Source organism: Homo sapiens, chromosome 10 (assembly GCF_000001405.40).
Source record: "Homo sapiens chromosome 10, GRCh38.p14 Primary Assembly".
In the NCBI taxonomy this organism is placed as follows: domain Eukaryota; kingdom Metazoa; phylum Chordata; class Mammalia; order Primates; family Hominidae; genus Homo; species Homo sapiens.
In genome coordinates, this window is record NC_000010.11 from 34,329,965 (window position 1) to 34,357,223 (window position 27,259).

A 27,259-nucleotide genomic window follows, 5' to 3' on the forward strand; every position below is an offset into this window, starting at 1 on the left:
CTTAAAACTCTTCTTCCCACGAAAGTCTTTCTTAGGTATATGTGATAGAAGTGGTCCACTCAAATGTTGAATTGCAAGTAATTTACAATCTACACAAATTATCTCTGGTCTCTGCCTTAGTTTTATTCTGTGGTCCCTCCAACTATTCGTACAATAGTTTGATGGTTGAGTCACATTTGAGGTTAAAACACTAAAAGGTAAATTAGTAGTTATGAGCAATATAAGATAATCAACAATTTTCACTATTAGGACTCCTAAGCCCTTTTGCTTCTTAGTAAATATATCGGTAGAGTTTTTCCATTACTTTTTAATAGAATGTTTACTTTAATATAAGAAATGTTTAACTCTCTGGAAGGATATATTTGTACCTATCTATAAATTATTTTTTATTCAATAAACCATGGAAAACATTCATATTAACCTTTGACTTTTAATAATCTTGGCTTTAAATATTTTGCAATTTCAAAATAAACACACATAAATATAGCTTGCTAGTTTAGTTATAGGAAAGAATGAGTAATTCCTGAAAGCAAAAAAAGAAAAAAAAAATGTTTTTAAGATCACAGATTATTACAGGTACTCAATGGAGACATCCTATTTGAGACACTACAAAGTAGTGGTTTTCAAATATTTTGATCTCAGGATGACTTCACACCCCTGAAAATTATTAAGCACTCCAAATAACTTTTTTATATGTGGATTATATCTAGCAACATGTACTGAATTAAAACTGGGAAAGTTTTAAAATATTACTTTTTAAAAACAAGCAACTTCGTGTTAACAGAAATTACATTTTTTACCAAAAAATATATATATTCCAAAAGAAGTGAGAACAATGGCACTGTTAAATATTTTTTCAGAATTTTTAGTTTAATATTGGCCTGTAAGACAGATTCTCATATCTGCTTCTGCATTCAATCTAATGCAGTATCACAGGACATGTGGCCTCCAAAAAACCCCAGTGTATACTTATAAGAGAATGTGAGTAAAGGGCAAATAATATCGTCTTATTATGAAATAAGAGATTATTAGACCTCAGAGATCTCAGAGATTACCCTGAAGAATCTTAGAAAACTCCAGGGCTCCCTGGAGCTCACTTTAAGAAATAGAGTCTAATTTTAATTATTATTCTTTCAGCCATTATAAACTTACAGGTCTCCATGCCTTCATCATCATCATCTACCGCGGGTTTATCATAAGATTTGTCGATGGCAGCTCTGAAGCTCTCATTGCATCCCCTGCCTCTGATTATCCGCGGCCGTGGACGATGGAAAGGAATATCCCCATTCAAAGTCACCTCGGCAACTGCGGTCTGCAGACTCTCCAACGAGCTTGACTTCTTCAGACCCAGGGAAGGACCCACATCTCTGCTGGGAGAACCTGGGAGGTTTACAAGAAAAAAAATGTTAGTGTGAATTAGTGAAAATTATGTACCTGAATATGCACTGTCGAAAACTTCAGGTACATAACAATTATTTGCTCAATGATGAGTTCTGGAATGCAGATGGAAAAGACAAAGAATAAATGAAGTAATAGTTGCTAATTTTTATTTTTCCCAAACTTATATTAGATTTGGTCTATTTTCTCTCTTTGCATTAGGAAAAACTCTAAGTCATTACTTTTTAAAAAAAATTTCAACAGATGAAATTGTTGTCAAATCGTTTTGCTCCGGTAATAGGAATAATCTAAAAGAACCAGAATAACCTGGAAGCTCATTTGAAAAGCAAGGGAAGATGAGGAGAAGGCTAAGGTCAACAACCAAGAATAAGCTTTGCACTTAATTAAAACCTTTTTTTTTTTGGCAATTTAAAATTCTTTAGAACAGAAGCTAGACATGCACATCAATGTGCATTGTCAAGTCTCTTCCTTGCTAAACTGCAGACCCACAACACTGCATAAGGAGTAAGACCACGGGGGCCAACATGTCACCAAAACAGTTAGGGCAACCTGGCAGCAGGCAGAAACCCAACCCTGGGAAATATGGATATTCTATAGGAAGAGTAACACAAGCTTTGAACGGAAACAGATTACATAAGGGCTCTCTCTCAGAGGGAAATAAAAAAGGAGAGACTGGATATGAGTACTTCTATCTCTAGGCCTGGGAACAATATGTTTGAAAAACAGGTGATGGACAGAAGAAAGACGACTTAGCAATTAACCAGAACATTTCATGAGGATGACAGGGACAAATTCCGGGAATTAAAAATTTGGCTCTATTTCCTGAGGATCTAGGGCAGAAGGACCCAAGATAATACCAATAGTACCAAGTTGTGGAAGGCAATCAAAACTGATTTCTTTAACCAGGTAAGACAGCCTCATCCATCACTGCCTGACCTGATACTCAAAGGTAGACTAATTTAGCTTCCGGATGACTGAAATACCAGCTCTGCACCACCACCTGGGCAATCCAGGTTATAGAACTGGTTCTTCATATATACAGTTAAAAAGACAGGTGAAAAAAATAGAGGGTAGGAGAAACAAAATAGTTTATCTCTGCATGGGGTCATCAGCCCATATGTTGATCATGTTATTACCCAGAAGACAAATAGTTGTGACATAGGCTTTTCACAGCTCAGAAAATAAAATAGAATTAAAATTACACTGAAAGACTCAAAACAAAATTTAATTTTTTAAGATTCACTGATGTTAAATGAAGCTATTTTGGGTAAGAATAGATATGTTTAAAATGTAGTACAAACAGGAAGGCAAACACATGATTCTAATGAAGAAATAATATTCCACAAATTGTTGTGCTGGAAAGAAAAAGATGTCATATTTAGCTTTCTCAGTGCAGGTTTGTCTATATTTCTTTATTTTATGACAAAAGTTCATGAGATTTATTTCTTTGAATGAGATCCATCTTACTTTTTCTCTGGGCAGCACTACAATTTTTGACAACTGCATTTTCTAAATTACTCATAAAAGTCATGTCATGGGAAGAAAAATGAATTTTGTTCCAAAAACCTACATAATAAGAAATGAAGGAATAAAAAAGAATGGGAAAAGATCATTCCTGGGCAGGGATATTTACCTTTATAGTTCCTAGAATTAGCACTGGAAAGATCCTTTTGTGAATAAATGTCTATCAACTTTCATAATTTACCAGCTATATTTGGCTTCCATACACATGTATTGGGCAAATATTTGGTGCTTTCTTGAGTTTATTAAGGATATGTGTATGTGTGTATGTATTTGTATGTGAGTATATATCATGAATAAAGATTTCATGCTTCCAGAAAAAATTCTCATAAAAACACCATTTATATAAAGCTTTTCTTTGTGTAAAGTTAGCTGAGATTTTACTTAGTGTACTGACAGCAATAAAAACTTAAATAATAAATTTCAGAAATGGCATGAGTATTCATTGAAATTGAGTGTCCCTAAGCATAAACACAGGCAAACTTGGAAAGAAAAACAATGGTCAAAGTATAATTCGATAAACGATAATTTTGTAAGTGCAATTCAGAGCATACCTACCTATTTGTTTCCCTAAATTCATAACACTCTGAAATAACCTTTTGGCAAACTGTTGACCATTGTGGATGGTGGGCCCTGGGTTTGTGGAAGGTCAATGAACTACTCTCTGTATATTTATGTATAGATGAAAACTTTTACAATAAAAAATTATACAAAATGTCAATTATCTACAACTTCTGAACCTGTAACACAGATCAGCAAACTGTGAGTCAAATGTGGAAAATTTTACTGGAACACAGCCATGCCCATGTATTTACATATTGTCTATGACTACTTTCATTCAACAATGGTAGAATGTAAAAGTTGCAACAGAGATCTAAAATATTTACCATCTGTTCCTTTACAGAAAAAGCTTGCTAACATTCGATTTATAATATGAGTAACATACACTTTAGTACTATATTTGACCAAGAAACTATAACAAAGGTTTTGAATGATATGTTAGGATTTCTCAGCGAAGTTATTAAAATCCCTAACACATTGATTCAGTCAAATGTCTTTAGAAAAAAAATTAAAAGGATTCCCTAACAATACAAACAGCATTTTACTAGTAATGAAAATTGAAAAAGTCTTTTTGTACATAAAATATATGGAAAAGATTTTATTTACATCATAAAAGTTAGTATCTTTTGTCTTAATTTTAAAACAATATTTTAAGCTCTTACTTTACACATATCTTTTAGGTCATTAGCATACTTTGCTAATCTCTATACTTCAAGAATGAAACCATTAGAAATCCAATTCTCTTCTTATACCTGTTCTCCCTTGTTATAATTTGAGGAGAAATATTTATCCCCAAAATATGATACAAGATTCCTAAATATGGAAAAAAAAAGAGGGAAATCATAATCATACTATTTTCCTAGATCTGTTTCCTATTCCTACTTAGTAATATCCCTCTTGCCAAAAAAAAAAAAAAAAAAGAAAGGAAAGGATGTCTTTTGCAAGGGGCAGAGGGAAATGTAATTCAATTTTCATTATGAAAGGCTTATGGCTAGGCTAGACAGATGTTCAATGCTAAAATGCCACTATGATTCTCCCAAAAACCTTTGGACTAATCTATAAAATCATAATCTTTCTTGAAAACTCAAGTCAAGTGAAGTGACGAAAGAAAAATAAGTGAAAATCTTTTCACTGTCTAATATTAGGGGACAGGGAAATAATAAAATATCTACTTTAGGTATTTTATTCATTTAGATGTAAAATCAACAGACCAAGTATTTTGACATCTTTGTAATAATTTTTTGCCCCAATATTTTCTAATTTAATTTGGTAGAATAGACTGCACAAAGTGCAAAAAAAAAAAAAAAAGTTCTTTTTCTCTAGAATCTAGCACAGTTTGATTTTTGATTAGACTATAAAATCTGCCTTGAAACTTATGTAATGACTTTCCATGAAAGTTATCTAACGCACTGAGTTATAACTTGGATATCATTATGTTGTAGATCACAATAAACTGTCCTTTTCCTTATAGTAGCTGTGAGTTGGTTAAATTAAGTATTTTTCTTATTTTACCTAACTGACATTGTATATGAAGTCAGGTCCTTTACCTGAGCAGCTCAATTTGGTTTTTATGACTGTTTACTTGGATCGGGGTTATTGCTTATACTGCTAACTGTAAAAACTAACTACTATTTTACATATGTGAACTATCACATAACATTTCTCTTTAGCTCTGCTTCAATAAACTTTAGGTTTCATAAGAACAACAAACAACTCAGTAAGGGATAAGGCTACGGTTAACTGCCGTGCAATACAGTTAATCTTATGATTTATTAGATGTCGTTTTTACAATCTATCTTATACTCCAAAGAATATAACTCCAACCATGTTTACAATAATTTTTACATATATATATGTGGGATACACATTTTTTAAGCAGCTAAAACTAATTTACTACTGCAAGTTAAAAAGGCAAATTGAAGCTAATTAGTGCTAAGTAGTGTAACTACATCATACTGGATACAGATTAAAACACTATTCCAAACTTATAATAAGTCATAAATGGTCAATTATACAAAGCACGTTAACTACACTTAAAAGACCTTCCTGTGATTACTGTCATACAATAACATAAAAAGCAAAATCGATGACTATAATGCAATCCCAGTTCAATATAATCCATTGTTTCTATGGAATGATTTGGCAGTATTTTAGAAGTAACGAATTTAGAACAAGCTCACAAAGTTAAGATATGAAGCCATATGCATTATATAGTCTAATCCAACGTCAGGTTAATTATAAGCTAATTCCAGCATCAAAAAAAGAATATGCCTTTCTGAATGACTAATGATAGCAATACCGGACGTTGTCCTACAATGAAAAACATTTATATTGGCACTATTATCTTTCAAATCAAAATCACCACTCTGAGAATCACTTTTTGGATGTTAACCTAGACATCACATAGCTGACTTAAAAACCTAGGACTCTACCATAACAGATCACGTTTGCAGGATTTTGATTTTTTAAAAATTGGGATAAAACATCCTTACATGAATATAATTAAGAAAATCTAGGTTGTTTCTAGCCTTTTTGAAGCAGTAAATCATATTACTATTTAGTAAGTACACCACTGATAAATTTCTACTAACAGAAAATATTTCTTTTCTTATGTAATTCAATTTCTCACAATGAAAACATCTGCGTAAGACTGGAATATGTATGTTTACATGGCATATGATTGGCAGCTCTATAATTGTGATAAGCTATGTGGGCCATCGTTTCTATGGCAACAGTCTAACTGTCCATTCTTACCTGCTTTCTGGTCATCCACTGTATTGAGTTTAGTCTCGTCAGCTACTGTTAAAAGGTAAATGTATAATAGTTAGCCCAGTTAGTTCCCATAGCCCACCATGCTTCCACCATTCCCAGATCTTTTTAGTTAGGTGACGATCCTCAGCTAATATTTCATGCAAATACTATGAAACATCAAGCAAACATTCATAATCAAAAAAGGAGGAAAAAAAAGCAGTGTCTCCATGCAATATGCCAGTCATTTCATTTCACAGACATGTGTGTTATATGTTAGCATATCATAATTAGCCAAGGCAATGCATCACCAAATTTTTCTTTATGCGTATGATAAATTAATGCTTTTAGTCTTGGAATACAAACAGCCACCAGAGAACAGCATAAGTTACAGTTGATTAACAAAGGTTTTAAATCATTCAGTGTATAAATATAATTAATTATTTTACTTTTTTTTTGGTGGATTTGGATTTAAAGAGACACTACCTGATTGGTGTTTGAACAACTATGATTATTTTCCTCCTCTCATTTGCTCCTAAATACTTTCTATAATAAATACTCTCAAATTATTACTTTGATTAAATGCCTTAATTATCAAAATATGAAAGCTTCCAATAAATAAACCTTAAAGAACAGCAATGAAAGGAAGACATCATGAAGTAACCAAATTCTAGACATGGATTGAGATAATGGTTTCTCTCCAAAATTTTCTCTTCTAGTTCAAAAATCCCACAACCAACCAAATACAATTTCAATGAAATTGGTTTTAAATAGCCAAAGTGTTAAAACATTTCATTTTGTAAAATAAAGATACATGGACATAGCATGATATGCATATGTGTTTGTTTCCATTCTCTTAAGAAAACATATATATTAACATATTGCATATTATGTAAACATGCCACTTATGAGTAATATCGTTATCTCAAACTGGGAGAAAAACTAATTTTTGCCAAATTGCCACATTTCACATTTATTTTCTCTATTGCTCAAAGTAAACAGACATCTGCTTGGGACCATCAATTTTATCCTGAAAGCATTTAAAACTTATTTAGATAAAGATTCATGGAGATTGTACTCACTACCTAAATCCATGCTTTTTGATTTTCGTGTTTTAACGAAATCCAATTGACTGGCATCTGAAAATTGCTTTGTGCGTTTTTCTGACATACTCTGACGTCCAAATCCTTCTCGTTGAAAAGCAAGAACTGGATCAACATCTGGACTCAAAGAGCTGGAGTGAAGAAAAAATAAAAATAAAAATATTTACTAAAAATAGCACGCATCCATTTTAGGGAGGTTCATACATACCTGCAAGTGTAAATATACATATGTATATTCCTCAAGAAAAATTCAACTAAATAATACAAATACAGTCCATTAAAAAAAAAACTGTGGCTGTATAGAAAGTGATAGAAAAATACAAAATTAATTTAACTTTTAGAGTAACTCTTTCTCCATGTGAATTTTCTCCTTCTCTACTTTCCTCTCTGTTTCTTCACTCTATTTGACAATACAGAATTATTTCAAGATGATCATAAAAAATGAGCCTGATATTAGAACAACTGAATTTTTCAGGAAACCTGTCATATATTATATACAAACACTAGCAGCGAACAAGTGACCATATAAATTGTAACTAAATAGAAGTTTCAAAAAGAGTACATTCTAGCCTTCTTATGTATCTTTTATGTTGTGTTTTAAGGAAAGAAAAAAAATGCCATTATGGCATGCCATTTCATAAGGCTGCAGTTTCTCTGAAATATTAAAACAAAGAAATCAATTCAACAAACATTTATTAGAACCTATTCTGATTAAGGCATTGTGCCAGGTACGTAGATCCAAATAACAGATAAGAAAGATTCCCTGTACTCTATGAGCTCATAAGAAAAATACTAAACCAGAAGTCTGAAACAGATGCTGAGGATGCATAGATGAGTGAATAAACAGTATATGAGAATCAGGAAGAAAATGACTAAGTTTAGATGACATTTGATTTGGGTGACACCAACACAGTGGCTCAAGCGGGCATGATAAGGAAGCATATGGCAAATCCCTGGTAACAGGATGCCTTCTGAAGTGTTCCTCCAACGCAAGTGGTTGAAGATGTCCCAGAATCACTCCTGTTTGTAAAAATCTGTGAACACATTCTAAAGTGCTATAAGGTGTTCTAGCCACAGTTCATAATATGAAAAGGGTTTTCTCTGTGCTGGGCACATTGGGTAAGTAAGTATACTAGCTCTACTATATCAGGTCCGGCCACCTTGCCTATCTGGCCAGGTGAGAGAACATCCCTCTACAGCTAACTGAGCACACTAAAAATGCCCAGGGCTCCTTCCACTGTCAGCTGAATTTATGATAGTCTTCCTCATGTTTCTGATGGAAGCAAGCTTTTCCAACCCTTTATGGCCTTATAAGAACTATCATCCATACTAGTAAAAAAACAGTCAACCTTTGGATGTACATCAGAAATTTAGTTGCGATTTACTGTGCATGAAATGAGAGTTGGCTCTTAAAGAGCTATGGTAAAAGTTTGAAAAGTAAGATAGCAGGCAAAAGCCCTGCCACTGGGTAGGGTGACTTGAAATGTTTTGAGCTCATTATGTATTAAATATGCTCAATAAAGAGAACAGTTGTCTCATTCACTTAAAAAGCTAACAAGAGAATTCAGCAACCTAAGGTGAAAGCCCCATGTAAATTGCTAACTACTAAACAAGTCAGTCATCACCCAATGAAGACTATCTCAAATTATCAAACACAAATTATGATGACAGACATCTACCCTCAGATGCCCCTTCACATACTACTATGCTTAGGTGTAAATGGCTTATATGATGAGAGCACATACACCCAAGTGAAAAAAACACACTTCTAAAAGTAAAAAATCAAAACCCATATGATAAGAAATATGACACAATCTTGCAACAGCAAACTCTAAATAATATATTTCCAATAATTCTTTTATATATTGTCAGTGGATCTCTTCAGTCACTCTGCACATGCTAACCAATTCTTTTTACCTCTTCTAGAATAATTTAAAACTTCAACTCCCTACTTGGGAGGCTGAGGCAGGAGAATGGTGTGAACCTGGGAGGCGGAGCTTGCAGTGAGCCAAGATCGCGCCACTACACTCCAGCCTGGGCAACAGAGCGAGACTCCGTCTCAAAAAAAAAACAAAAACAAAACAAAAAAAACCTCAACTCCAATACTGCACCAAACTTGTAAACAGAATGCATTTGAAATACAGTGTTAGTAGAAATAAATTGTTGGTAAAAGATTTTTCAAAGAAATACAAATTGTCACTGCCAATCTCGCCTGAAAACCACATATTGGTGCACCTTTAATTTTATATCCTCTAAAATTATGTTACCATTAAGATTAGAATTTTGCTGTTATTTCCTTTCCCCCAGAAACACATTATTAATGTTCTCTCAATTGATTAATGGATTGAAAATAGTATATTCTATAAGTAAACAAGTAAGTTTAGCCATTTGACATGGCCTTCGACAACTGTGCAGTGAACTACATGTACAATTTAAAATGTCAAATGAGTTTGTGCATTAGTAAGAGTCTTAAATAACTAAATATTCTTAAACTATGACAAAATTAATTCTTCCCTATCAATATTCCCACTAAACTTATTTCAGACACAATAAACGGTACACTGGAATATTTAACAAGTTAGATGGCAGGAATGACAGCTGATTCTTTAAAGAATGTAACCATATCCTGACCCCTAATGTTATTAAAATTCCAGTTATTAATCCTGTCTTATTGGCCTTTTGTTTTCATAGCATTTTCATCAAGGATTAGGGAAGATATTGTCAGGCTGGAAAAGCTTGCATTTTCTGCTGTGATTCAGAACAGCTGGCATTCTTGTTTGGATAACCCTTCATTCATATTATTTTCTTTGCCCCACATTCCCCACAGCAAAATTATCCAAGTCCTCACCATTTTGCAAATCCCCCTTAGGGAAATTAATGCCACAATCTATCCCTTCTACTTATTTATCTATTTTCACTAATATACTGCTTTATAATGCCCCAAAGACTATGACCACCTCCACAATTTCTCATCATGGTAGAGATTTAAAGGCTTTTGTCCCTAAGATGAACACTGCGTCTATCTAATCCTTGCTTTCTCTGTTGTTGCTACTTTCATTTTCAGAAAGAGATATGAGACACAGCAGTCAATGTAACACCATCTGCAGATTTCAAATGGGTTTTTACTTTATATTGTAGTCTTCCCTTCTATGTTTAATCAAAAACCTCATTCAAAGATGGGCCATTATCATACAGGTTTGAGGGTAGTTCTATTTTTAAATCCTGTGCTTTCAAAAAGAGAATTTAAAAAGAAAGAAATGAAAAGCTAGAGATGAACTTTTCAAGGTCCCAAATAAGAGGTGTGATTTATTCCAAGAGAACATCTTCATAATTAACAGATAAATGAACTGTATTTTGTGTGTTCATGTGGAGAGTCAGGGAAGAGGATTGGGGGAGTGGTTCACTTTGTTAAGATCATCACTAAAAATGTTAACGCAAATAAATGCCAGTCCCCCAGACACCTCCTATCTAATATTTAATGTTGACACAAGCCAGAAAAACAGTAGGAAGCAGGAATGGCTAAGTGGTGAAGGAACAACACCATAACATTTAAATATGATTTTGCTGATATATTCATAAAAGACCCCAGAGAAAGGGCAATGAGAAAATTCTGGTACAATACTTCACATGGTTTGTGTTAATTATCACTACAACCTTGTGAGGTCGTCCCCAAGAGGAGCTCTGCTTTTGCTTATTGATGTATATAATTACTAGGCATAAACATTAAGGCACACATCCACCTTCATGAGCCACACATTGGCTCAGTAGTATCAAATGCTTTCTTCTATTTTGAAAGACACAGGAAAGAAAATAGCAGGGAGTGCCCCAGAAGTCACTATGTTAAAAGCAATTACAAAGCATTTTAAACAGTATGGTTATAGCACTCTGAAAAAAAAAAAAAAAAACACTTTAAAAAAAGCCTCCTCCCACTCTTAGAACACATCAACTCTTAGTTTTGCAAAAGTATCTAATTGTTGCCATCAATTTAGGGAGTTACCAAGAATTTATTTAATTAAAAAACAATGCATCAAATTAACACAGATGTGAAATAAATCATAAAGTGAAAGTGAAAAACAAATGAGCACGGTTTTTTGACTGGTAGTAGTTTTGTCATTGTTTTGGTTATATTACTAACTATAGCTCTTGAAGGCTAAAACAATTAAATTTACAGAGTTCGGGTATAATCTTTTATTATAAGAGTGATAAGTATATAAAAACCATGAAGACAGAGCTATTAAAAAAATGATTAACTGTATTTAGCAGTAAGCCACTTAAACATAAAATGGGACTGTAATTAATTCATGTTTTCCAACCCTGGACGATGAGCTTACCAGTCGGCTGAATCACTGATTGCAGCCTTGGCCCAAGTACCAGCATCTGCCGTCACAAACCCCACATCATCATGGGAGCTGGAAGAGGACTGGTCAGAGAGATGTGGAGGAAGCACTGGCAACCTGTCATCTTCTATAATGACAGTGTCATCTTGGGGCATATTCACTGTAGGGGACAGCTGGTATTTACCTGTCCAGTGAAAAAAGAAGAAGAGAAAATTCTAGACATCGATCAAAGTGTTACATCTATTAATTTTAATACTTTGCTATATTAGTAAAAGTCTAATTTTCCACATATCTGCTCAACCTGGTAGAACAAAACAGAATTTAGCACATTTATTTTTCATAAATGATTGTCAAACAGAGACCTCGAGTCTATTACTACCTCTGACGCTACAACTATATAGCTCAGGGCAATGCATGCAATTTTTCTGGTTTGAAGTTTCCTAAAGCCAAAGATACTCTCTCAAATGTCTTATAATGTGAAAATGCTACACGCATTCTAAACTGTGAATGTCCTTTGAAAAATTACCAGGAAATTTACAAAGAAGCCCCACTAACTTGCATTGTTTATTCATTCATTCATTGAGCAACTGCTGCAGAGCAGGTACTGCAAGACACAGTCTCTGTCCTTAAAGGACGTATGCCCTAGTGAAGGAGAAAGAATTACAAGCAGTGATAATTATATGGTGGTGTAGAGATGAGTCCAAAGCCATTCACTTGTGTTGTAATTGCCTGGGTTACTGGGGGTAGGAAGTGCTGGAAATCTTGGCAAAAGTTAACATCAGAATTAGGTTTTAAATGGTCAATATGATCTTTTCTGCCAGAAGAAATGATGATATTTATTTTAGATAGCAACAACATCATTATTAAATGCATGATGGAGAAAAGCCCATGATGCAGTCAGGTGAAACTTAAAAGATGAGTATTACCAAAAACAAAGCCTAGAAAAGGAGAGATACCTGGAGTGATCTTGATGCAAAAAATTAGGATCTGAGTGGCCAGAGGTTTTTCAGGCCATGACTGAGGATGTTGGGATGGCATACACAAGCGTGAAGGATTTTTAAAAGTCTGTATTGTATTGTTCTAGACATTTCAGCAAAGGAGAAAAATTTATTTAAATTGCTACATCTTTTCAGGATAACCCACAAAAAGTAAACTTGCTGGGGATTTCAACTGCATTCCTCATTTAACATCAACTACACTATTGTAGTAATACTGTAAGTTCACTGAAACCCCTTCTCAGCACGTTACCAAGAAAAACTTTCTCTTTGATTTCAAATGCACCCATTTTGACAAACTATGAAAATTAACAGCTTATATAAATGCTAATGATAAAAATGTAAATCAAATGTAATACTTAGCCATTTCCCTTACCTGAATTCAAATTACTCATTTATTTCTAATACAGTATTAGAATATTAGGATAGAAACCTGTTCAGCAAAAGTGTCATTCATCAATAAGGTGGGACTTTCTAGCACTATTAGCCAAGAAATATTTCCTTCTCAAGACATACTTTTTTCCTTCAAAGTATATAGAATTATAAAACCAGTCACCCCAATGGACAACTCACCACTGACGAGGCATGTCACAATATTAAATACCAAATACTCACACGGGCATAATTTATTAAAAGAAAATATTACAGTATAATCATAGTGCATTCATTTTTAAACACAAAACTAAAACTTCTGGTTTTACACAATATATTCTGAGAGATGGCCTAACAAAGCAATATGAACACTGAAAGGGGCATATGATTTTTTTTGTAATCTGTTGTTCTGAGTAGAAATATTATACCTTAACTGTTGTGATACAATATTGTATACATAGATAAATGGCAAGAAATCTTCCTCATAGTAAGAAAATAATTTAGCATTTTTTTCTCACCCATGATTTGAAAGGCTAGTATTTCCACAAGATTTGAAAACCCATATTTTCCACTTCTTAACATGCTTGCCAGGAATATAGTTTTGGGTTATGGCTCCAAGATTATACCAGGGTAATGGACAGCTAAAAAACTTTACATATTCTACTAAGCTGCACCTAGACAATACAATGATCCCTTAATTATGTTTGCTAGTAGTTGGTACATCATAAATGTGAAACCTTCTATGACTTGAGAAGGCTTCAATTTATTTCTGATAGGTAAACTTTCCTCTATCTTCAACTAGTTAACTAGTGACCTACAAACTAAGTAAACTAGTCAGTATCTTGTAGAGGAGTGAAACAATGAAATACAAAATGTTTGTTTACTAAACATTTATTCATTGGCAAATTTACATAGAAGGTAACACCACACATGATACTAGAGGAAAACTGTGCCAGTGACATGACTCACAATAAAAACATTAATGTTTCATTTTTCTATGTCAAATTGCTAACAAGATAAAAATGTTCTAAATACGTCTTCTTAAACTCACCACATATATATGAATATACAAACTACTGAGATAAATTCTAAAATGGATACAACAGATTTCAGTTTTGTTTTAAAAAGAAAAATTATTCAGCTAAAAAAGTTGAGAAATAGTTAAAGTCCCAGGCTTACAAATGACAATGTGTGATGTCTTTTACGAAATGGATGTGCTGGTTAAATTAGTTATGCTGACTATCCCTGTTGCTGGTTTTTTTGTTTGTTTGTTTGTTTTTGTTTTTTTTTTTTTTTTTTTGGATATGGAGTCTCACTCTGTTGCCCAGGCTGGAGTGCTGTGGTACGATTTCAGCTCAATGCAAGCTCTGCCTCCTGGGTTTAAGCAATTCTCCTGCCTCAGCCTCCCCAGTAGGTGGGACTACGGGTGTGCAACACAACATCCGGCTAATTTTTGTATTTTTCGTAGAGACAGGGTTTCACATGTTGGCCAGGCTGGTCTTAAACTCCTGACCTCAGTTGATCCACCTGCCTGGGCCTCCCAAAGTGCTGGGATTACAGGCATAAGCCACTGTGCCCAGCTGCATTGTTGCTGTTTTTTATTGTTAGTTAAGAGAGACCAACCATTAGAAAAATGTTTAAGGCTTTTCAAAGGAAGAATCCTATGTAGGCAGCCCCACTACAGGTTACTTTCTGATGAATGTCCAGGACTATTACAAAATCCATGATTGTGGAAATTCTGTCAAAAGAGATGACAGAGAAATCTTGCCTTTGGTCACAATCCTGTCTGACCCCAACAAAAGCTAAGGAAATCCTAATCAGGTGTGACTCATGATAAAGAAAAACATGCATCCAAATTTTGGTTCAGAAGTACAGAAAGTGTGCAACTTCTGTCAAGTTAATTAATGTATTTGCTCCATAACTCCCCGACATATAAGGTAAGTTGGCTGGAGTATGTGGTTTGAAGGCTGCTTTCAAAGATTTAACGTCTTTGATTTTTTTAGTCACCATGGGTGCCAGGATAGAATAAGATCTGGAGACTTTCGAATAACTGCTTACAGATGTAGATAATTATAAATTGATACTAATAAAGAATGAAGATCTCAGCATTCCCCAGAGAGGGCTATTTTTAGAAAAAGGAAATAGCCAAAAACAAAGTAAAACAAAAAACATCATGGGATATCAGGACTTAGTTCCTCATCTGTTAAATGGGAAAGTGTGACTGATGACATCTGACATCCTTTCAACTCTAAAGGCTCTTCCTTTTGGGGTGTATCTTTTAAAAGCCTTTCGCCAGGGATGTGTTCACATAGGAATGCATCACAAAGCCTCAAAGCTCCGTTTAGCCTAGAGTCCTACATAGGGGATTACTCCATATGAAAATTCAACCTGTTAACATAAAATTAATAACTCCCTAAGGTAATCAGCCAGAATTTCAATACAAAGTTCCTTTTGTATCATAGCAGATCATGAAGTAAATACCTCAACCTCCACTAATGTCTACAAAGGAGTGATTCCAAACATATAGAAGACAATCATTAACCAAACAGTCTGAGGAATATCTATGCGCCTAGATACTGTGCAAATCAATAAACACTGTTGTTATTGGTTTAGGCGAATGGAAATCCAAAGTCCTAATGTCTTTGGAACTATGGAATTCATGACTCAGAAAAACATAAATCCGAATTTTGGTTCAGAAACGGTGTGATTTGTCAAGTTTCCTAATTTTTTTGCCCCATACCTCTCCTAATGCCTTGTTTGGGCATTCTCTTGCAAGGTAACGTCTTGAACAGGATTTCTAACTTTAAGTGGTAACTAATTTCACAAATTGCATTTGATTCTTACGGCCAAAGATACTAGAATAAGGACTGACAAAAAGTGAGGAATTTTCAAATTTGCAAAACACAAGATGAATCAAAATATGCATATATACTTGTCAGGGTAAAACTATTTAGAATCCCTAGTTTCCGTTACAAATTGTAAAAATTATCTTAAGAAAATATCCAAATCATAAAAACATCAATTTAGCCTACCCTTAAATAGTAACGCATTTGTCACCCCCAGCCCAAAGTGGTAAAAGGGCATACACATCACAAAACACAGAACTGGGAGAGAAGTTACTGCCCTGGGGAAGCATCTGGAGTTTTAAGAGTTCAGTACATATCTAGCAGAAGGAAGAGGAAACAATGTCAACTATAATGCAAACCGAAGAGGACTAATGAAGCTGTAGCTAACAAAATCGGGGCAACAGACTAGGAAGAAAATGAATGACTCTTCAACTCATATATACAGCATTTCAAAAGGTCACTAGCTGAATTTAGGGATTTTTTTGGTTTGAGTTTTAGTTTTAGTTTTTCGCCTTCCTCTGAAGCATCAGGGATTGGAGGCAGGACGCAGGTTACAGGAACTGGTGGACCAATGGTCTGATTCAGTATGGCAAGTCCTATGTTCCTATAATAAAGGGGAAATTACAGCATATCACTTTGTGTGCACAAATATCTAGGGACACATGCACACTCTCTCTCTCTCAAGGGGACTGAAATTTCATCAACAAAAAAATAATTTAACAAAGATAAAGATTTATACCAAAGCCAAGAAAGTACAGAAAATCCAACAGCAGTGAAGAGAGTGGTAAGTAATAAGCAAAGATTTGAAAGTGATAAACTATGTACAAAGCCTTTCACCTGACAGGTGTTCAACCCAACAGGTGTGGCACTCTTCCCTGACATTCACTTACGCCAAGCATGTAAAAAGAAAAATGTTGACAAAGTAACACCAGAAAGCTGGCTTGTCTAAGTTCCACATGTAACAAGATAAGAAATTACATATTCAGCAATTTTTCTAAACTAGAAAGCTAGAGAGATTAGAGGAAGAAAAACAGACAATTCTACTAGACATGTTTATGTATGTTTTTGATCATGCCCAGTAGAAAGTTCTTTGAAGGCAGAGATTGCTTCTTACTCATCTTTGTATCTACAGCAACAGTATATACACAATGTCTTGCCAATAGCATGCTTTCCATAAACACCCACTGATGAATAAATTACTGTTTCAATGAGGCTCCATAATGGAAACTTGAATTGTATTAAATCTGCATTAAATGTACTCAAAATGGAGTTAAATTTAGGGTTTTACTTTAAATGAGAGCCTTGCAAAATATACCAGTAATAAAAGTGTTTTATGTCAGGTGTTATTTTAATCAAAATGGCTTCTTGTGTTTTAAATTTGAAAACTCTCACAAGCTAATCGCAAGATGAGCAGCTCAGTAAATCCAACCACTCCTGTGGCAAAGCAAGAATTTATGAACTGGATCTGTTAGTAGAAAGCTGAACTGCTGCAAAGCAAGTGCTAATAACCTCATTACCCACTGGGGGCCATGCAGATAGGATGGTACTGAATCCAAACAAAGGATGCAGAAGACTAGTTTCGCGATTTTAAAACTAAAGCTTCAGAAAAGTAAAATACAATTAAAATACAGTAACATCCTATTAAATACAAACCAGATACATGTGAATATTTTATATATGTGTGCATATATCTGTATATAAATATTTTTTCTCCCCCTCCAGGCAGTGCCACTGTGAATGATATGTAACTTTTGAATCCTTTTTGCCACAAGCCATTAAATTTTGATTTCTTTTTAAACATAGCTTCACATATTATCTCAAGTAAGTAAAGAATATCTTGATCACTAGAAAACATTTCCATATGATCCCTTTCTTTTTGGTTGCTTCGTCATGTTACAGGATCTAAAAGTCACTTAAATCAATGGATTGATTTACCTCTTCACATGAACACTTCCTGAATGATTTTAATAAACCTGTTCTCTTTTGTCTTGAAAACATTAATATTTTTATTTACATTAATATTACACTAATAGTACATTAATATTACACCAATAACCTCTCAGTAAACCAATGAAAGCATCAAAATAAGATGTGATAAACAGAGTTTTACCTGACTCACCCATTATCCTACTGAGGGCAGCATTTCTGCTGGGCGATTCATCAAGCCCCTCAATCCCACTGTAGAGGGAATGGGAAATTCTTCGTTCTCTATCATCCAACGCTGTTTCAATGGGCAGCTCAGGTCCAGGGGGGCTCCCAGGTGACTTCAGCTACAGAGTAACGGGTATGGGGGCAAAGAAAAATCAGTACCTGGAGGCCAATTAGCAGCATGGGAGAATTATAACAACTTGCCCGAGGCCTGTATCCAACTGGGTACCAAATGAACTAGAACTTTTCACCCTGTACCAAAATAATTTGTGATGACAGCTCTGCCTAATGACCAACTTTCTGTGCCACTTTATACCATGCCTCCCATGAAGTTCTGTCAGATTTCAACCGCTGGAGGAAAAATATGTATATTTAAGGCTTTTTTAAAATCAGAGCTTGTTGTTTATTTTTCCAATTTGACCGTTAGTGTCTGTTTAAGTCAATTTAAGTTACAGTGTAATTCAGAATTCTTTACTAGATGTTACTCTATAAAAGGCGTGCTTGATCAGAATGGAAGCTGCAATTTAGCTATAGGTCTTAAACTTATGGTATGTAAATACATCTAACAATTAGCACACATTTTTCCATGTGTGCTGGTGGAATTATTACCTACTCTACAAGACCTAAAGATATCAGCTCAGATGTCTTGAACAACACACTGATTTTAAATTCCTCCTGCTAGAAATTAAGAATAATCATGGTATTATCTTTACTGTAATGTTTAAGTACAAGATAGTAGCTGCAATAATCACTTCAGTAGTGTACAGAACAATATGAAAATCGGGACCAAATATTCTAATAAAGCACACCAAGATAGGAGGATTTCAAAAACATATACAATCTAATAAATAAGCAATGAATGTATGTCAATTTCGATGACAATAAATTAAAATGTATCGGGCATTTCTTAAAACAGCTAGCTGTGTCTAATAAGTCATATTTTACATAAAAATAATATGAGTAAGAAATTCATGTTAGTAAGGCCTTCAAACAAATCTGTTTTAATGAAAGAACATTTAACTACAATCCTCATAACGCAGACTGTGAGGTTCACCACAAGGACTGGTATCTCATGATGCTTTGATGTTAGACAGACAGGAAGGGCCAATGTGGGGGAGTGGGCAGGAGGGCAGCATCACACAGCACAGCGGGAGAGAAGGCGCTCCTCTCACACATGAAACCACAACTGTCGCACTTCCTTCAGCTGAACAAATTATTATTTCCGTTAGAAGCTATCATCTGTTTAATATAAATGAGATATTTAATGAAGTTTCGAATTGTAGACTTATCTCTCCCAGTTTGATAAGCACTGGGGAGATTTAATGCATTGAAGGGTCAACACAATTACAATTGGAGGCACATCAAACTGCAGGAGAATAATAAACTTGCAGCTCTAGTGAATTAGACTCAATAAGGTTTAAATTGTGAAACGAGGATTTGTTTCATTTGTTTTTTTTAAAATTGTAGATTACAACTGACAGCTTTACTGAAAAGTAAATTAAATATTCAAGGTCTCTGATGTAAAGAAATAAAAGAACAGTTTCTAAAAGAATGTAATGCCTAAATTCCAAGAGACTCTGGGAAAGTAAAAAAAAAAAAAAAAAAAAAAAAAAAAAGCTAATAAAACGAATACTCTATACCATTAAGAACAAGTATGGTTTTTAAATTAACACACACACTAAAAAGTATACCTACATAAAGACTTGCTATACAAGACTCTATAAACAAATTCTGTTTACTATACAATAATTTATCAAAAGACAGACAACATATCCTCAAGGTTGCCTGAAAAATGTATTTAATTGAACTGTATAATGCTGCAATTTTCTACATGATAAAACCTTTATAAAACTTCTTCTTGAGAAATCCCTAAATATCCCAAAAGGCTATTTTAAAATTTTATAAAGCCAAATAAAAATTCCATTAAAAAGGAGTACATGCAGGTTTTCTAGAGAAAAACAGTAAGACGTCTGTTCAGAAAAAAACCAAGCACTTGAACATTTTCATAGGAAAGATTCTCCACCTCCCCTACCTCTCTACCCATATTTAATTTGCATCTCAAAAGACAGATTTAAATGAAGACATCAATAGTTGACTACATAAATATTTAACAGAAGATACAATGGCTTTTAATTTCTTTTAAAAAAACTGATTGGGGTTACAGTTTTGTTTTAAATCTTTTGATGATTTTTTGTTGTTGCAAGAACACCAGCTTAGGAAATAGAAATGTGTCAGAGGGGGCACCAGCGGCACTGAGGAAGAGAGGCAACCCCAGTGGTCCTGGGAGAATGGCTGGCCTCTGCTCCCCCAGGCCTGCTATCACCCCCTTGCAGGCTCCTTATATTAAAACCTTATTAAAATTAAGCTTCGGTTGGGCACAGTGGCTCACGCCTGTAATCCCAGCACTTTGGAAGGCCGAGGCGGGTGGATCATGAGGTCAGGAGTTCAAGACCAACATGGTGAAACACCAAATATACTAAAAATACAAAAATTAGCCAGGTGTGGTGGCGGGCACCTGTAATTCCAGCTACTCGGGAGGCTGAGGCAGAGAATTGCTTGAACCCAGGAGGCAGAGGTTGCAGTGAGCCGAGATCACGCCACTGCACTCCAGCCTGGCTAACAGAGAGACTCCATCTTGGCGGGGGGGGAGGGGGGGTGGTAGAATTAAGCTTCATTAGAAGAAGAAACCAAAGTAAGCACAACTGCGATTTTCATTTTGTTGTCTATTTGTGGTTTAATGTGCAAAAATTTTCTTGACTCCAACTAAATACAGTCCCCTGTAGCAGTGGCTGTTTAGCCCCTCAGTTCCATCCCAAGGAAAGTCTTTCTACCTATTAAAGAACAAAAATAGCTTTAGGTTGCGGCAAGATAACCCACACTCGGTAGGAGTGTAAAGTGATACAGTCTTTTGCTACAGTAACTTGGAAATATATTACCACAGGGCAAAAAAAAATCTTATTTTTAACTCTTTGAACAGGCCTTTATTTCATGTTGTGGTCACTATCCCAAAGGAAATAATAAGCTAAGTGAATAATGAAAATTCATGTGAATTTATCTGTGGGGTTTAATAAAATCTCCGTTTGTTGTGAGTATGCATTAGCAAGCCAAATAGTGTCTTTCACCTAAAGAAAATGTATCCCACTATCTCCACTACAAACACTGAAAAGTTCGTATTGGAATGGCCTTAAACCCCCTTCAACAAACCTAAAACTGGATTCTCACTGGTGATTGGCAAGATCATATTATTCAATATTTCAGTTTTTTTTTAGCATATTGTATTTTATCCCCAATGCCTAGCGTAGAGCAGGCACTGGTGGAATAATTAGATTAGTAAATTCATTCCTAAAAGTGAGTGAGTCATAATTTCCTTAAAACACACTACATTATGTGGAAATAGGCTGTTAAAACTGAGGACACGCCATGATGTTGATATTAAAAGACATTTAACCTAGATTACAAATATACATTCTGGAAAATATTAGCTTCCAGAGGACAGGTGAACATAAAGCAACTAATGAAAACACAGATTTTAGTTTTGGAGGAGAGTGAAGGAAGATTTAGAGCACAGTTTCACATTCTCTTTTCAAACAGGACCACATTTATTTTCCTTCACATCCCCATGAGGGCAATGGCAAGAACCAGAAATGTGAGGTGAGCTCCTCAAGTCAGCACATGGCAGAACCAGAATTTCTCCGATTACATCAGATTCGAAAGCCCATGCTTTTATTGTACACTACTTCCCAACGCAACTGGGATATAAAGTGCCTGAACAACACAATCACAGTCAATTAGATCCACTCACTTGTGTAAGAGAAACAGACATTTTGCTTCTAAATTACTTTGCCACCTATGTTGGCCTTGCAGCCATTAAAGCAAATCATTTGACCTCTTTGCATTTATTTCTTAATACAGAAAATGAAGAGATTCATAAATGATACCTTAGGCCCCTTTCCTATTCTAATATACCTTTCTCATTCTAAGAGGGTTAAGCCTAGAGAAAAAATTCATTTTAAAGAAGTCCTTGATGACTAAATCCCCCAATATGAGGTCTAAGACAGAAAGCTCACCTGGCGATATTCTCTACTGGCACTAAGAAAAAGCTTTACATAAAATCACTTCTAACATGGATATAATAAAATGCCTGGAAGCTATGTTAAATTACAGTAATTTCTACAAATATTAATGTCTTTAAAATATTTAAAACTCAGCATAATTCTCATATAGAGGCTATTTTCAACACTCAAGGAATGATGCCTGGCATTTACTTCCATTCCACTCCAGTCTCGTTTAAAAATCTTCAACAGAGTGTCAACAGCTTTCTCCACTGTAAAGTTACTCTTTTTTGCTCCCCTCTCCCCTCTCCCCTCTCCCTCCACTTTCCATGGTCTCCCTCTGATGCCGAGCCGAGGCTGGACTGTACTGCTGCCATCTCGGCTCACTGCAACCTCCCTGCCTGATTCTCCTGCCTCAGCCTGCAGAGTGCCTGGGATTGCAGGCACGCGCCGCCACGCCTGACTGGTTTTTGTATTTTTTGGTGGAGACAGGGTTTCGCCATGTTGGCGGGGCTGGTCTCCAGCTCCTGACCGCGAGTGATCTGCCCACCTGGGCCTCCCGAGGTGCCGGGATTGCAGACGGAGTCTCGCTCACTCAGTGCTCAATCTTGCCCAGGCTGGAGTGCAGTGGCGTGATCTCAGCTCGCTACAATCTCCACCTCGCAGCCGCCTGCCTTGGCCTCCCAAAGTGCCGAGATTGCAGCCTCTGCCCGGCCGCGACCCCATCTGGGAAGTGAGGAGCCTCTCTGCCTGGTCGCCCATCGTCTGGGATGTGACGAGCCCCTCTGCCCGGCTGCCCAGTCTGGGAAGTGAGGAGCGCCTCTTCCCAGCCGCCATCCCATCTAGGAAGTGAGGAGCGTCTCTGCCCGGCCGCCCATCGTCTGAGATGTGGGGAGCGCCTCTGCCCCGCCGCCCCATCTGGGATGTGAGGAGTGTCTCTGCCGGACCGCCACCCCGTCTGGGAGGTGAGGAGCGTCTCTGCCCGGCCGCCCCGTCTGAGAAGTGAGGAGCCCCTCCGCCCCGCAGCTGCCCTGTCTGGGAAGTGAGGAGCCCCTCCGCCCAGCAGCCGCCCCGTCTGGGAAGTGGGGGGCAGCCCCCGCCCGGCCAGCCGCCCCGTCCGGGAGGGAGGTGGGGGGCGCGTCTGCCTGGGCGCCACCCCGTCCGGGAGGTGGACCCAACAGCTCATTGAGAACGGGCCATGATGACGATAGCAGTTTTGTCGAGTAGAAAAGGGGGAAATGTGGGGAAAAGAAAGAGAGATCAGATTTTTACTGTGTCTGTGTAGAAAGAAGTAGACATAGGAGACTCCATTTTGTTCTGTACCAAGAAAAATTCTTCTGCCTTGGGATGCTGTTAATCTATAACCTTACCCCCAACCCCGTGCTCTCTGAAACATGTGCTGTGTCCACTCAGGGTTAAATGGATTAAGGGCGGTGCAAGATGTGCTTTGTTAAACAGAGGCTTGAAGGCAGCAAGCTCTTTAAAAGTCATCACCACTCCCTAATCTCAAGTACCCAGGGACACAAACACTGCGGAAGGCCGCAGGGTCCTCTGCCTAGGAAAACCAGAGACCCTTGTTCACATGTTTATCTGCTGACCTTCCATCCACTATTGTCCTATGACCCTGCCAAATCCCCCTCTCCGAGAAACACCCAAGAATGATCAATAAATAAATAAATAAAAAAATAAATAAATAAATAAATAAAATAAAAAATAAAAGTCTTCAACAAATGTGTCCTTTGAGGTAAGTGAAAACAATTTTTCTCTTCTTACTTTGTGTATTCCAAAACTGAAACGATGGAAAAGAATGCAGGGACTCAGTTTTTCTCTAAAAAAGTGAAATCATCCTTTAAGGGCTTTAAACAATGGGAAGCCATCTCTTTTTCTTTGAAGAAAGAAAAAAGAAAACAAACAATGATGGTTTATACAATGTTTTTAAGTGTAGTTAGATAAAACCATTAGATCTAAGAAAAGAAGGAAAGCAAAGGAAATAAAAATTACTGCCCTCAAAATCACTTTGTTTGCCTTGTCTGAGGGTGACTCTGGAATTTCAGTTTCTAATACTAACAAGACCTGTCTTTCTTCAAAAAAAAAAAACAAAAAAAAAACGCCAGATGGTAGCAGGCACTTGCAGTCCCTGGCTAACACGGTGAAACTCCATCTCTACTAAAAAATACAAAAAATTAGCTGGGCGTGGTGGTGGGCACCTGTAGTCCCAGCTACTTGGGAGGCTGAGGCAGGAGAATGGCGTGAACCCGGGAGGCGGAGCTTGCAGTGAGCTGAGATCACGCCACTGCACTCCAGCCTGAGCAACACAGCGAGACTCTGTCTCAAAAAAAAAAAAAAGCCAGACTCTCCAGGGTTGCTCTTCGTCATTCAGCCTGTGCTGATGTGTCAGGCCTGGGTTGGATACCAGCAAAGGATACACAGGAAAGTGGTAGATGGACCAAGCCCTGGCAGTCTCAGAATCCACATTCCAGCAAAAGAAAATCAAAGAGGAAACCATGATAGTGTGACAGCTGCTGGGTGAAGGGGAGTACACGGGGCTATGAAAATCCTTTGGAAGAGAAAATGGAAAATGAAAGACTGCGTTAAGTCTTTGCTAGGATGAGGGGCAGATAGACTCAAGTGGAAGACCTAGAGGTGTAAAAGAGCATCCCATGTCTGAGAAATTACCAGAAACACTGAGTGGCTAGAGCAGAGGTGCTGCAGGGGCTGTAGGGCACCGATGACAATCAGGCATGTCCCAGTGGTCCCCATGATGGAGACTGGTTGATCCTGGAGACATGGAAAGCCTCTGAAGGGATTTCAGCAGGGACTGACGTGATTAATGTGTTCTGTAGAAAAATTTGCCTGACTGCAGTGCAGAGAATGGATTGAGGGAGAAAGCCTGATTGCAGAGAAAACCCTCAGGGAGCTGCAGCAGTGCGCCTGGTGAGAGGATGAGGTCTGAACTCAGGCAGTGGGAGAGGGGAAAGAGGGGAGCGGCTAAAGGAAGAGAGATTCTAGGCCAGGCGCAGTGGCTCACAGGCGTAATTCCAGCACTTTAGGAAGCTGAGGCCAAAGGATTACTTGAGCCCAGGAGTTTAAAACCAACCTGGGCAACATAGTGAGATCCCATCTTTAAAGAAAAATTAGTTGGGTGTGGTGGTGCATGCCTGTGGTCCCAGCTACTAGGGAGACAGGTGGCAGGATTGCTTGAGCATGGGAAGTCGAGGCTACAGTGAGCCGGGGACTATACCACTGCACTCTAGCCTAGGCAACAGAGCGAGAGAGCAAGACGCTGTCTCCAAAAAAGAAAAGAGGGAAATTCTAGAGGTAGAAGCAACAGGCAACAGGGATAGGGACAGCATTTGAGAGGTCAAGGGTGACCCCAGATCTCTGCCTTCTACAACAGAAAGAATGTGGTGCCTTGTGAATTAGGTGCCCATAAGACATACCAGGAAATATTTCCCTAGGCAGGTGGACAGAGGGATCTGGTGCCAGAGTGGACCTGTGAGCTGGAAAGAGGATGATAGTATTCATCCTAACAAGTGGTTTCAGGCAGCAAGGGAGTGGAGATCAGCTAGGGAGCAAGAGCAGAGTAAAAACAAACAGACCTGGTGGGGCGCAGTGGCTCACGCCTGTAATTCCAGCACTTTGGGAGGCCAATGTGGGCAGATCACAAGGTCAGGAGTTTGAGACCAGCCTGACCAACATGGTGAAACCCCATCTCTACCAAAAATACAAAAAATTAGCTGGGCATGGCGCACACCTGTAATCTCAGCTACTCACGAGGCTGAGGCTGGAGAATCACTTGAACCCGGGAGGCGGAGGTTGCAGTGAGCCAAGATCACGCCACTGCACTCCAGCCTAGGCAACAGAGTGACACTCCGTCTCAAAAAAAAAAAAAAAAAAAAAACAAAACAAAACCAAACAAAAAAACAGACAACAGACCCAGAGGAACTTTGAGAGACAGGAATAATGAAAGAACAGGCAGAAAAGAGGAACCCTTAGAGAAGACCCGGAGTAGGGTAGCAGAAAACTAGAGAGAGTACATAGGAGACACTTTGAGAATGACATAGTGCCTGCAGATTCCTGGAAGGCTAAGCAAAATAGGCTAAGAAATAGCTCCCAGAGAATGTCTCCAATGTGCCCTGTCGCGACTAATGTTAGGGAAATACAGGGCTTTAACATAATACCTAGTGAAGGGAGCTGACAAATAAATTTAAAGAAAACACATTGGACCAGGTGAGGTGGCTCATGCCTGAAATCTCAGCACTTTGGCAAGCTGAGGCCAGGAGTTGGAGAACAGCCTGGACAACATAGCAAGACCGTGTCTCTACAAAAATGAAAAATAAAGAAGACATATTAAGATAATACACAGCACTTCCATGTATAAGAGAAAGAAAAATGTGACAAAGAACAAAAGATTTTCTTTTACACATTCTTACCTTCCCTAACTAGAAATTAAATATGCAAACCTTGGATTTAAAGATGAGATAGCAAAATACAGTTTTCTGATTGGCAAAGACTGGACTATACAGCTGATTAAAAGACCTAGAAAGAAAACTCAGCACATTATTTTGGCTTGAGATTTGTTCAGGACAGCAGGATGCCCTGTGCTTATATCAATATTTACTATAACATAATTTACACATACCCTCCCAGTGTGCAAAGGAGAAGGTTTTCCTAAGGTAATGCATAAGTACAACAGCTGAAAAATCATGTCTTATACCTTACTGGAAGCTGAATTGAGATCTTCTGTCTTCATGTAATTCTTTAGTTAAACCCTATCAGTACAAAAGGGTTCTTGCTAGTATTACAAAGATAGCACAGCACTCATAAGATTTTTTGATATAATTGCTTTATAAGCTTATGCTGTCCTAAGAAATAGTAATAACCAGCAATGTATGAAAATGATACCATAAGGAATATTGAATATTAAAGTCTATTACTGTCTACTGCAGCTGTTTCCTTACTTAAATCATATTCATTCACAAAAATTCATATGGAGAAGTGAATAAAACACAGAGATATTTCAGGGGGATTCCAATTTCACATCTCTTACAGGGAATAAAATCAGTGCTTTTATCAAAACATTTTCAGGCAGGTACAGGTTTACTTTGTCACTATTTGGGGGGAACAATAGGGAATAATCTGAATCAGATAAAAGCAGAACACTGATCTTCAGTTCAT

At 36.9% G+C, this 27,259-nt stretch overlaps 1 protein-coding gene across 11 annotated transcripts in view, besides 1 other annotated feature; it reads right to left on the reverse strand.

Moving 5' to 3' along the window:
• The window catches only part of PARD3 (par-3 family cell polarity regulator), a 705,736-nt gene that overhangs the window by 220,404 nt on the left and 458,073 nt on the right, over positions 1-27,259 (reverse strand). For 4 of the 11 annotated variants that reach the window (NM_001184790.2, NM_001184789.2, NM_001184788.2 and 1 more), the window contains 5 exons: positions 18,001-18,151; positions 11,663-11,852; positions 7,401-7,462; positions 6,235-6,279; positions 1,153-1,380 (listed from right to left, as the gene is read on the reverse strand). In NM_001184790.2, the coding sequence (NP_001171719.1) occupies positions 1,153-1,380; positions 6,235-6,279; positions 7,401-7,462; positions 11,663-11,852; positions 18,001-18,151 (676 nt within the window). Of the gene's footprint in view, positions 1-1,152; positions 1,381-6,234; positions 6,280-7,310; positions 7,463-11,662; positions 11,853-17,991; positions 18,152-27,259 lie in introns of all 11 variants that reach the window. The other 7 variants (NM_001184786.2, NM_001184785.2, NM_001184792.2 and 4 more) reach the window with 4 other exon arrangements.
• Positions 22,341-23,077: an enhancer, noted in NCBI's record as "H3K27ac-H3K4me1 hESC enhancer chr10:34641233-34641969 (GRCh37/hg19 assembly coordinates)". NCBI's record gives its function as "activates a minimal SCP1, AML or CMV promoter by ChIP-STARR-seq in naive H9 embryonic stem cells {active_cell/tissue: H9 hESC(naive)}" and the evidence as "EXISTENCE:reporter gene assay evidence [ECO:0000049][PMID:30033119]".